The sequence below is a fragment of the Homo sapiens genome, chromosome 3, assembly GCF_000001405.40.
Source record: "Homo sapiens chromosome 3, GRCh38.p14 Primary Assembly".
Lineage (NCBI taxonomy): Eukaryota > Metazoa > Chordata > Mammalia > Primates > Hominidae > Homo > Homo sapiens.
In genome coordinates this window covers 54,384,161-54,397,783 of record NC_000003.12, presented here as the reverse complement: position 1 = coordinate 54,397,783, position 13,623 = coordinate 54,384,161, and the positions used below count along the sequence as shown (strand labels likewise).

The 13,623-nt window shown below is 41.9% G+C and overlaps 1 protein-coding gene across 1 annotated transcript in view; it reads right to left on the bottom strand.

Moving 5' to 3' along the window:
• Nucleotides 1-13,623, bottom strand: part of CACNA2D3 (calcium voltage-gated channel auxiliary subunit alpha2delta 3) — a 952,006-nt gene that overhangs the window by 676,774 nt on the left and 261,609 nt on the right. The window contains exon 4 of the mRNA NM_018398.3: nucleotides 11,010-11,069. Within this exon, the coding sequence (NP_060868.2) occupies nucleotides 11,010-11,069 (60 nt within the window). The remainder of the gene's footprint in view (nucleotides 1-11,009; nucleotides 11,070-13,623) is intronic.

Genomic DNA, 13,623 nt, shown 5'->3' with positions numbered 1-13,623 from the left:
ATTTTTTTCAGCACCACACCACACCTATTCCAAAATTGACCACATACTTGGAAGTAAAGCTCTCCTCAGCAAATGTAAAAGAACAGAAATTATAACAAACTATCTCTCAGACCACAGTGCAATCAAACTAGAACTCAGGATTAAGAATCTCACTCAAAGCCGCTCAACTACATGGAAACTGAACAACCTGCTCCTGAATGACTACTGGGTACATAACGAAATGAAGACAGAAATAAAAATGTTCTTTGAAACCAACGAGAACAAAGACACCACATACCAGAATCTCTGGGACGCATTCAAAGCAGTGTGTAGAGGGAAATTTATAGCACTAAATGCCTACAAGAGAAAGCAGGAAAGATCCAAAATTGACACCCTAACATCACAATTAAAAGAACTAGAAAAGCAAGAGCAAACACATTCAAAAGCTAGCAGAAGTCAAGAAATAACTAAAATCAGAGCAGAACTGAAGGAAATAGAGACACAAAAAACCCTTCAAAAAATCAATGAATCCAGGAGCTGGTTTTTTGAAAGGATCAACAAAATTGATAGACCGCTAGCAAGACTAATAAAGAAAAAAAGAGAGAAGAATCAAATAGACACAATAAAAAATGATAAAGGGGATATCACCACCGATCCCACAGAAATACAAACTACCATCAGAGAATACTACAAACACCTCTACGCAAATAAACTAGAAAATCTAGAAGAAATGGATACATTCCTCGACACATACACTCTCCCAAGACTAAACCAGGAAGAAGTTGAATCTCTGAATAGACCAATAACAGGATCTGAAATTGTGGCAATAATCAATAGTTTACCAACCAAAAAGAGTCCAGGACCAGATGGATTCACAGCCGAATTCTACCAGAGGTACAAGGAGGAACTGGTACCATTCCTTCTGAAACTATTCCAATCAATAGAAAAAGAGGGAATCCTCCCTAACTCATTTTATGAGGCCAGCATCATTCTGATACCAAAGCCGGGCAGAGACACAACCAAAAAAGAGAATTTTAGACCAATATCCTTGATGAACATTGATGCAAAAATCCTCAATAAAATACTGGCAAAACGAATCCAGCAGCACATCCAAAAGCTTATCCACCATGATCAAGTGGGCTTCATCCCTGGGATGCAAGGCTGGTTCAATATATGCAAATCAATAAATGTAATCCAGCATATAAACAGAGCCAAAGACAAAAACCACATGATTATCTCAATAGATGCAGAAAAAGCCTTTGACAAAATTCAACAACCCTTCATGCTAAAAACTCTCAATAAATTAGGTATTGATGGGACGTATTTCAAAATAATAAGAGCTATCTATGACAAACCCACAGCCAATATCATACTGAATGGGCAAAAACTGGAAGCATTCCCTTTGAAAACTGGCACAAGACAGGGATGCCCTCTCTCACCGCTCCTATTCAACATAGTGTTGGAAGTTCTGGCCAGGGCAATCAGGCAGGAGAAGGAAATAAAGGGTATTCAATTAGGAAAAGAGGAAGTCAAATTGTCCCTGTTTGCAGACGACATGATTGTTTATCTAGAAAACCCCATCGTCTCAGCCCAAAATCTCCTTAAGCTGATAAGCAACTTCAGCAAAGTCTCAGGATACAAAATCAATGTACAAAAATCACAAGCATTCTTATACACCAACAACAGACAAACAGAGAGTCAAATCATGGGTGAACTCCCATTCACAATTGCTTCAAAGAGAATAAAATACCTAGGAATCCAACTTACAAGGGATGTGAAGGACCTCTTCAAGGAGAACTACAAACCACTGCTCAATGAAATAAAAGAGGACACAAACAAATGGAAGAACATTCCATGCTCATGGGTAGGAAGAATCAATATCGTGAAAATGGCCATACTGCCCAAGGTAATTTACAGATTCAATGCCATCCCCATCAAGCTACCAATGACTTTCTTCACAGAATTGGAAAAAACTACTTTAAAGTTCATATGGAACCAAAAAAGAACCCGCATCGCCAAGTCAATCCTAAGCCAAAACAACAAAGTTGGAGGCATCACACTACCTGACTTCAAACTATACTACAAGGCTACAGTAACCAAAACAGCATGGTACTGGTACCAAAACAGAGATATAGATCAATGGAACAGAACAGAGCCCTCAGAAATAATGCCGCATATCTACAACTATCTGATCTTTGACAAACCTGAGAAAAACAAGCAATGGGGAAAGGATTCCCTATTTAATAAATGGTGCTGGGAAAACTGGCTAGCCATATGTAGAAAGCTGAAACTGGATCCCTTCCTTACACCTTATACAAAAATCAATTCAAGATGGATTAAAGATTTAAACGTTAGACCTAAAACCATAAAAACCCTAGAAGAAAACCTAGGCATTACCATTCAGGACATAGGCGTGGGCAAGGACTTCATGTCCAAAACACCAAAAGCAATGGCAACAAAAGCCAAAATTGACAAATGGGATCTAATTAAACTAAAGAGCTTCTGCACAGCAAAAGAAACTACCATCAGAGTGAACAGGCAACCTACAACATGGGAGAAAATTTTCGCAACCTACTCATCTGACAAAGGGCTAATATCCAGAATCTACAATGAACTCAAACAAATTTACAAGAAAAAAACAAACAACCCCATCAAAAAGTGGGTGAAGGACATGAACAGACACTTCTCAAAAGAAGACATTTATGCAGCCAAAAAACACATGAAGAAATGCTCATCATCACTGGCCATCAGAGAAATGCAAATCAAAACCACTATGAGATATCATCTCACACCAGTTAGAATGGCAATCATTAAAAAGTCAGGAAACAACAGGTGCTGGAGAGGATGTGGAGAAATAGGAACACTTTTACACTGTTGGTGGGACTGTAAACTAGTTCAACCATTGTGGAAGTCAGTGTGGCGATTCCTCAGGGATCTAGAACTAGAAATACCATTTGACCCAGCCATCCCATTACTGGGTATATACCCAAAGGACTATAAATCTTGCTGCTATAAAGACACATGCACACGTATGTTTATTGCGGCACTATTCACAATAGCAAAGACTTGGAACCAACCCAAATGTCCAACAATGATAGACTGGATTAAGAAAATGTGGCACATATACACCATGGAATACTATACAGCCATAAAAAATGATGAGTTCATGTCCTTTGTAGGGACATGGATGGAAACCATCATTCTCAGTAAACTATCGCAAGAACAAAAAACCAAACACCGCATATTCTCACTCATAGGTGGGAATTGAACAATGAGATCACATGGACACAGGAAGGGGAATATCACACTCTGGGGACTGTGGTGGGGTCGGGGGAGGGAGGAGGGATAGCATTGGGAGATATACCTAATGCTAGATGACACGTTAGTGGGTGCAGCGCACCAGCATGGCACATGTATACATATGTAACCTGCACAATGTGCACATGTACCCTAAAACTTAGAGTATAATAATAAAAAAAAAAAAAATGTTCACTCTCCAAGGCAGGGTTGCAGGCAGATTGCCTACACACCAGGATCTGTGATTCTGGGGCACAACCAAGCAGCTAAGGCCGCTCCGGGGAGCTGGGTTGTAGTTGTAACTCTGACCCCAGGGGACAGGACACAGAACTGGCCTTTCTCTGAGGAAGAAGGGGTGCTCTGACGATTTGAGCCCAGGGAGCAAGGTAAAGCTGCAATTTGGGAACCAGTGCCAACAGGCACAGTGGCAATTCAGGCCCCAGTGAATGAGATGCCTACCTCATAGTGGTAACTCTGGACCCCCAGATGGTGAGACACAGAAGCATCCTAGACCCTGTATGGACACATGCAGCAGCAACAAGGTACCCAAAATGGCAAAGCCTAGCTGCTGCTTGCATCCTGGAAGGCAGGGAACAGCACAGTGATGACCCCACTCCCCAAGAAGACGGGTGTCTCATACTCTGCAAGGACAGTCCAGTTCTAGGGAAGCAGGGTACTACAGTTCTTCAGCCAGTAGGGCAAGGTGTCCCAGCTCAACCAACGCCCTGTTTCCCTGGGACGTGGGATACCACGTCAGATCAGCCCAGGGATGTGTGGCTGCTCAGTCTGGCTATGGCTCCATTTCCCCACGAGTTGATGTACCTCTTTAGCTCAGGCACAGGAAGCCTTACTGCTCTGGGCAGACAAGGCACCAATTCCCCAGGATGCAGGGTGCTGCTTCTGCTTAAGCTCTGAGGGGCGAAGCACGATAGTGACTGGGAGGGGTAGGTAGAGCAGCTACACACCAGCTTGGCCCCTGGGGTAGCATGTAGCAGCAGCTCAGCTTAGGGATGGTGGGCCAGCAGGCAAGGGTGGTTCAGTGGCAACAAAGCCTCAGGGACGACAGGGTGCTGTGGCTAACTGCACCAGAGCCAGACACACACTCCAGCAGTGGTTCAAGTTCAAAGACGGTGCAGTACCCACATGGGTCACAGGGGACAGGACACAGTGTCAGCTGCTTCTCTGGGGAAAGTGCAGCTGTGTGGACACCAGCCAGCTCCCTCAGCTGACCTGAGCACCTGTGAGGTCGGTAGGAGTCCCCAGTGGAGAGCACTACAAGTCTCCACGTCGACGATGGGTGCTTCCGGCAGTCTTCTTGCTCACCTTTTTTCCACAGGGAGAAGTAACTCCTGGTTTTGAACTGACCCCACCTTGGGGATGGGGTAGCAGAAGCAAGGCGCTTCCCTTCTCTATGCGTCCATCCTGAGCTTCTGTGGTCTACAGGGCTTCTGTTACTCCTTTGATGCACTTCAGCCCTGTTTAGTTATTTTCATCAAAATCCAGCAGTTTATTCTTTGCTTTGGCTGTCTTTGCAGGGTGGCGGGGGACAAGCACTAAGGGCTTCTTCTAGCCAGCCATCTTGTTGACATCACTCTCCCACTGTCCTTGCTAATCCTTTTTCCTAGAAAGGCTTCCTTTTCCTAGTGGATGGTGAAAGAAGTTCTACACTGAGTGCTGGGGCTCCTGAGCTGCCCTTTCTCTCCTTTCCTGGGTTTCCTTCAACACAAAGCTCCCATTGTAACAGGTAAGCAGGTAGAGTAAGCTGCTCTAGGAAGTATCGGAAGTCATCTTATCTCAGAGGTTTCCCACCAACAGTCTTTATTCCCCCTCCACTCCAAAGCCCCCACCCCACCTTTGAAATCAGGCCACTACATTTGCAAGGTAGGCTCTTCCAGCTTGGTGAGGACCAGGAGGAAGTGTGCTGCCAGCTCCTTTCCCTTCCATACCTGTTATCCCTCTGAATGTCACCACACTTCTCTTTTTCCCTATTACTTACAAAACAACAAAGAAAAACTATCATAGAAAACTTTGTAATAGAAAAAGCTTCTGCAGGATACACAATTCAAAACCATATTTTTTTCTCTCTCTGTGCACCCGCTCTGTGCAACTGGCACTTATTTGAGACAGCTTTCAAAGAAAATATGTTTGTGGTTCAAAGATAAGCAGGTTTTTAGTAAACTGTCAAAAGGACATTTTTTTTTTCTTCTTTACTGCCAGTGGAAAAACTCAAAAAGAAAGAGTATGTAAGAGGGGGAACGCATTCTGAATTGTACTAGAACATGTATAGACTTAATTTTCTGGAAATTCATCAATGGCTAGGTATTCAAAGCTAGGGTCTCCTGCTTCTCCACCTGGAATTGGGTTTTGCCATCAAAATAATGAGGATGAAACACTAAAATAATTACATGTAATAACTGAGACATAGGGTAGTATTTTTTAAAACTCTGTTCTCATTGGAACTATCAATCTTTTAAGAAAAGCCTATGTTAATTCGCAGCATAAAGTAAAAAAGGAGAGAGATGCTATTATAATAAGGCCTCTATTGTCAATTATGACTGAAAATTGACCCAATGAAGATATCAGGGAATAAAGAACTACACCAAGAGAAGGCCAATCTAGAACCCACAGGCCACCAGAAAGAGGGACAAGCCAGAGGGCTGAACTGACACCAGTGTCCACAAGAAAGTTACCCTGCCAGGCTGGGCATGGTGGCTCATACCTATAATCCCAGCACTTTGGGAGGCCAAGTCAGGCAGGTCACTTGAGCCCAGGAGCTCGAGAACAGCCTAACCAACATGGTGAAACCCGGTATCCACAAAAAATACAAGAAGTAGCTGGGTGTCATGGTGCACACCTGTAATCCCAGCTACTGGGGAAGCTGAGGCATGAGAATCACTTGAAGCTGGGAGGCGCAGGTTATAGTGAGCTGAGATCGCACCACTGCACTCCGGTCTGGGTGACAGATCAAGACTCTGTCTCAAAAAAAAAAAAGAAAGAAAGAAAGAAAGAAAGAAAGCCACCCCGCCAATGAAGGCCAAGCACATCTGTTTTCTATGGAGGATTCTGCATTTTGGTTTGTTCACACATGCTATCCTTCAGGAGCTGCATTTTGCCTCTTGCCCCAATACAGTTTTTGTTAACAACTAACAATCTAATGCCATAGTAAGGACATTACAGAGGGGGCTGTAGATGTCCAAGCCATAAGGTCACGGGGAAAAGTTAAACCTCTGAAAAGATGGCAAGGGGAATTTAAATGGAAAATAAAATTGTAATAATAAAGGAGTTGTAACTTTCTTTTTCTAACTTTTGATTATTTTACCAACGAAAAGCAAATTCTTCACTTTGAAGCACATGAATGTTGCAATGATGCAACGTCTCCAGTCTAAAGCGAGAGAAGGGGCAGATCCATCATCTCTTTTCTGTTTTGGGAAGACGGAAGCTAAGATATATATGAGTTAAAACTACACAGGTTAGGAAATTTTGCAAAATCACTTTTTATTTTTCAGTATGAAAACAGACTTCCAGCTCCCTGTACTCCTCCTGAGCTAATAGGGTAGGTTCCTTCTCAGCGTTATTTCACAGTGAGCAGATGGTAGTCTGAAATTTTTTTGATAAAAACAATTATCTGCCAGGGGTTGCTGAGAGGTCAGCAGAACCCAGATTAACAATTGATCAGCTCTAACGGACCATCATAGTAATAAATTCAGAGCCAGTACACAGACCTGCCACCTCAGTAATAGCAATGGGGCTGACACCCAAGCTGTTAATATACTTGCACTTAATAGCATAGAAGCTTCAGTAGCTTCAAAACCTTCATCTAAGCCAAGACAAATCCTTCCATGCACAGCCAGTTTATCAAAGGCCTCTCTTTCACAGGTCTCCACCAAAGTGCATGTGGTTTACTTTGACCCATAGAGGAGTTCACTGAGGTCGGAGCACCAGTGTGAATGGCATTGTCATATTGACAGAGTATTTCAACATCTACTCTTATGTTCAGACCACAATGGTACCCTCTGATGCTTTTGTTGTACATGTCCAGAACAGGTGACTGGGGAGGAAAACTTTAGCTCCCTTTCCTTGTTCCCAAGAGAACAAAAACTAGAGACTTATTTTCTTGGTGCCTCATTTTTTCAAGAGAGATGCCAATGCTGCATTCACAATCACAGCACCCTCTTTGACAGAGGGAATTGCTTGTGCTACACCAGAATTTTACTGTAAAACTTCGGAAATAGGAAATCAGAACACTCTTGGAAAATAATAATAGCTTCAGATGGACAAAAAAGAATGTCTCTATGTTGGCTGAACTAAAACCACAAAACATTTTTCATCTGCTGAAGGATAAGTAATCCCCAAAAGTCAACCACATCATCCCCTCCCATGCCCCATCCCACCAACCCTTGTCTCTCAGTAAAACTGACCACATGAGCCATAAATAACAGATTTTACAAAGCAGTCATCACTTCCAATAATGTTTCTCACTCTCTCCCGCACAATCACTCCTTCCTGTTGAACCAATGAAGCCAGAAAAAATCAAAGAATGAGGACATTCCTTAACATAATCACAGTATAGGGATGAAGATCCAACAATCCAACATTAATACAGCATTGTTTTCTAATGCACAGTCCATATTAAAACTTTGTTTTCTAGTTCAGGATCCAGTTCAGGATCACACATTGCATGTAGTAGTCATGTGTCCTCATCTCTTTGAATTAGGAGCAAATCCTCAACATTTCTTTCTCCTTCTTGATCTTGGCATTTTTGAAGACGAGTCCAGACAGTTACTCTGTAGAATGTTCCTCAGTCTAGATTTGTCTGATGTTTTATCATGATTACAGTCAGGCTACACATTTTGGGCAAGAATTCTACATAACTGTGTTATATTTTTCTGAGTCATCACATCTGGAGGCACTTGATGTCACTTTGTCTCATTATTGGTGACATTAACTTCGATTATTTGTTTAAGGTGGTGTCTATCAGGTTTCTCCACAATAAAATTGCTATTTTTCCCTTTGTAATTGATGAGTAACTTGTGGGCAAATAGTTTGAGACTATAAGTGTCCTGTTCTTCACCAAACTTTTGCCAACTAATTTTAGCATCCACTGAAGATTCTTGCCTCAGTTAATTACCATAATTTTCTAACTCAATCATTTTTCTATATGCATTAGTTGCCTTCTAAGACATTCCCCCTCATTTGTCTTTTTTTTTTTTTAAGACGGAGTTTCGCTCTTTGTTGCCCAGGCTGGAGTGCACTGGCGTGATCTCGGCTGACTCCAACATCCACCTCCCAGCTTCAAGCGATTCTCCTGTCTCAGCCTACTGAGTAGCTGGGATTACCGGCACCTGCCACCATGCCCGGCTAATTTTTGTATTTTTAGTAGAGACAGGGTTTCACCATGTTGGCCAAGCTGGTCTCAAACTCCTGATACACCCGCCTTGGCCTCCCAACGTGCTGGGACTACAGGTGTGAGCCACCCAGCCTGGCCCATTTGTCTATTTTTTAATCTATCTATCTGTTTATTTATTATCAAGCGGACTCATGGATTCTTATTTTATTCATTGTTACAAGCTAAGTTGATATGAGTTGAGTTTCTGTCACTTAAAATCAGAATATTCCTGAAAAGCCTTCAGGAACTTCTGAGAAAAGTGACACAGTTTCCCTGGGCATTGCACTCAAGAGGTCCTTATAATCTTCACACCTGCCAAAGTGCTTCCTGATGCTGCCATTAAATCCCTTCTGGCCCACTCTACAAGTCCAAATTCTCTGACAATCAGGCTCAAAGAAGACAAATGTGGCCAGTAAATGGCCCCTAGATCTTTGTGAGAACTGAGTATGGCTTTAGGAAGGTAAGGTACTTCTTGCTATATCCAAGGTTCTTCTCACTATCTTCTGTCCCTTCTCAGCAGCTTCGCTCAAAGAGCTGGGCCAGCTGCCGACTCCTCTTCCAATGTTTCCAACCATCCTCAGAGCTTCTCCTCATTCCCCTCTTATGCTTAGCTATACCTCTGGCTCTATTTGTTTCAAATGTTGAGTATTATGCCTAAAAAGACTGCTGATGATGGACTTGATATTTTTTGTTTGCCCCTCCAGAACCATTCTTCAACCTTCCTCACCCAGCTCAATGACTGAACTGAACTGCATCAACCATACCAACAGCTGGATTCAGCCAACGGTGAGTACTGGCAAGAAATAAGAAAGCAAGAGAGTACTTGGGTATCATTATCCCAAATTTCACCCTTTCCAGCTCACCATGGGTGTCTATACTCCTCTATCAAATCCTTTTTCCATGTAGCCATCTTCCCTGAGTTCTGGAAACCCTAGTTTTCCTCTCTTCAGGTCATAAGTATGGCCAGCTCTGGGGTATGCCACCATTGCCTTTTGGTCTATCTGAACACCACTGCATGTTGGTTTCACTTAACCCCGAGTATACATTTGAAAATATTTCCTTAATTAAACTTTCCTTGATCACCCCACTTGAATATGCATTGTTGTACCCACAAAGCAAAAGACACAGATGAGGGTGATGACAAGGACACATCTTCCAGAGAGACATGCAGCCGGTGGTCAGCTTTGGTACTGCCATCTTTTTTTGTGCTTAATGATTTATGTCTGCCTTTCTATTCCCCATATAAATGGGAATATAGGAAAGTCAACACTATTTCCAAATTGTGACCACATGCCACTAAAAGAAATATGTCTAGCAAAGCTCAAACTTTAAGATTTGCTCCTTCTGTTTTCCTAGTGGTGAGGAAAGGTCACAAAACTCAAAGTGCCAATTTAGATAAAAGTTCTTTCAGGGAGACCCAAAGGAATCTCCAAGTTTTACTTACTTACTTACTTACTTACTTATTTATTTGAGACAGACTCTCACTCTGTCACCCAGGCTGCAGTGCAATGGCTCAATCTCAGCTCACTGCAACGTCTGCTGCCCAGGTTCAAGCAATTCTCCTGCCTCAGTTTCCCAAGTAGCTGGGATTACAGGCGTGCGCTACCACGCCCAGCTAATTTTTGTATTTTTAGTAGAGACGGGGTTTCACCATGTTGGCCAGGCTGGTCTCGAACTCCTGGCCTCAAGCGATGCACCTGCCTCAGTCTCCCAAAGTGCTAGGATTACAGGCATGAGCCACCACACCCAGCTGGAACCTCCAAGTATTATTTAATTAACTTGTTGCCCTTTACTATGTTTTCTATACACATCGACATCAAAATCCTTCTCTATCAGACATAGTCATGTCAGGATCAGGTACAAGATCTACTGCAAGAAATTAATGAAATGGATATTTGAATCTCAAATCAGTGAATGATTCAATTTTTAAATGTTATTAACAATCAATTCAAGGATAGATCCATCACAGTATTGCTTTCAGTCACTTGCATTCCAAAATGCAGCCAGCCAAGTGGGATTTGGATGTATTCTGCTATCTTATCAATTCACCATTGAGAGATCTGGTGATTATTGTCAGTTGACCGATTTAACTCCCCCTAAATTGGGGAATAGTTTATTGAAATCTGATTACACACATGTGAGTGTTTGACATCACCCATTATAACTGTCACTGTTAGAAGGTGGTTGCGGATTGCTTAAGAATCCTGTCAAAGATTCCAACTCAGTACCATCCTCTCAAAAGCCTCTCCCTCCCAATCACTGAAAAATCAGTATTCCTGGTATACCTGGTACTTGTCCTTTGGCAGGAAACACACAAAACAATTTAACTCAAACTATAATCAGTTACCTGTAAGTCTGCATCAAATTCATGTTTCAGGTGTGCTTCTTCTGCAGCCTCCACCAGACGCTAAAAAAAAAAAAAAAAAACAGAAGACAGCATTAAGGATCAGAATTGTGGCCTGAACCCCATTTCTCCATTGACCAAAAGTGACATATTATATCGTGGTTCATACATTGTGATCTGATGCCTTTGCTCCCATGAAACTGAAAATAATCACATCAGTGTCAACACTGGGTTTCTGCCTCCATCATTCAATCAATAATTCTTCCAATAAATATTTATTGTTATGTACACATTTATAAATGCACACGTGTTCTGCATCCATTTACCTAACAATTCAGACACTGGTCCTTGAGGCCCAATGCAGATCCAAAACCCACCTAGCATAGTGCATTCCTTAGGTATAGAACGCCCTTAGTCAAGATTTATTGCCTTGAATTGAGTCCAACTTTAAGTGGGCTAGCTTTCTTCCCCAATATTTTGGAAAAGAGTACTTATTTTAATTCCCTCAATCATTCAAGGTCAATTCTTTCTGTACCCAGTTCTAATATGTAATTATCAGGTGACAGTTATTTGCATTTTATGGTCCATCAATGCCACTGTGACAATCTGCAACCCAATAAAGCAATCACTTAAATTAAACTAATACTCAGGACCCACAACAACACAATTCTTGTTATTCTTCTCAGCCAGCGAAATTCAACACATTAATATTCTTATGAAACCCATTTCATAATGCCTTCATTTAGATAATTAGTCAACAATCAAAATCATTTTTACTTTAATTTGATTTTGCCTACAATAAGATATTTCCCACCTTGAAAATATAGGCTAGAGGATATTACAGAAAACTCTCATTTGGTGAAATAATATTTCACTGAAATTATATCAAACTAAAAGCAAAATCTTAGATCCAAGCAAAAATTTGACCACTTCTATTTCTCCTGTGGTCACTCTTGTATCCTATGCTGTCTTTAACTTGCTTTTTCTTGACATAATATAGGCCTGAGTTTAATAGGCCACGTGTGAAAAATGATGGCATTAATATTAATCTCTAAACGGTCACAAATTGATGGACAAATGTCCCATGAATAATTATTAAACTGGATATGGAAGTGAAGAGGCTGAAATACATTCGGGTAACTTTAAGCAGCAGTAGAGTACCAAAGCCCACTTTCGCCACAGGACATACAAAGAAAGAGACAGGCCAGCCAGAGACAGTGCTGCCCACAGACAGAGATTTGGGAAGGGTGGAAATGTGATTTCCCAGACTATCTTCAGTTGATCAGAAGGTCAGGAAGGGTTTTTTCCTTCACTGGTCAAAGAACAATCCCCAGAGAACATCAGAGGCCAGAGCCAGGAGACCTGGTCCTCATTCTAGCCCGGATGCTAACTCACTACAGGTGTGAAATCTTGCGCAGGACCCTTCCCCTGTCTGAGCCTCAGCTTCCTCACCTGAAAATACAAAAAGTGGTGACCCTAGAGCAGTGCTTCCCAAAGTGCAGACCCACACTGGCAGGATCAGTTTCACCTGGGAAATTGTAGAAATGCCCATCCCAGTCCCACCGAATCAAAAGTTCTGGAGGTGAGGACCAGCAATCTGGTCTAACAAGCCCTGCAGGTAATTCTGATGCCACTAAAGTTTGAGAACCACTGGCTAAAAATACCATTCATCCCATTCCTCACCTCACTCCTGATGCTTGATTAAACCTCCAAGGTTTCTCAACTCTTATTTAACTTTGTAAAATCCATGTACCTAGGCCAGGCATGGTGGGTTCACACTAGTAATCCTAGCACTTTGGGAGGCAGAGGCGGGCAGATCACCTGAGGTAAGGAATTAGAGACCAGCCTGGTCAACGTGGCAAAAACCCCATCTCAACAAAAAACACAAAAATTAGCCAGGCGTGGTGGCACATGCCTGTAGTCTCAGCTATTCAGGAGGCTGAGGCAGGAGAATCACTTGAACCCAGGAGGCAGAGGCTGCAGTGAGCCGAGATCACACCACTGCATTCCAGCCTGGGCGACAGAGTGAGACTCTGTCTCAAAAACAAAACACAAAACTTATGTATTCCTACCTAAAATACTGTCACTTTAAGACATAAAATTCTTTACAGAAAAAAAAGACATAAGATGGAGGGGATGAGAAACAGAAAAGTAAGAAGAGGAACAATCTACAAAGATCAGGTAAGTGGGCCCCAAGCGTTCATTGGGTCACTCTCTTCCTAAAATCATCCTAGTCAATGAAGCTTGAAAGCCTTCTGGGATCATGTGGTACAATCTGCAAACACACTGTGGATCCTGACAGATGAGTGACAGGCAGTGATATATAAAAAGAAAGAAAACTATGTGTTTCTGAGAGCATATTCTCTTAATCTTTGTAACAGATTTAGAATTTCTGTGCATGTATCATGAAATCAGTTACATATTGAGCTTTACAGAATGTGTATTAAATATTATGCATGTCTGAATACTTACATTATCAAAACAAGTCATGCATTTGAGCATTTATTTACTGCAACACATAAAAAATGGATTTTTGATGGTGTCTACGCACTGAGAATCTAGAGAAAAAAAGTTGATAAAATGTTTAAATGATCAAAAGATAAAGTAAAACTACACA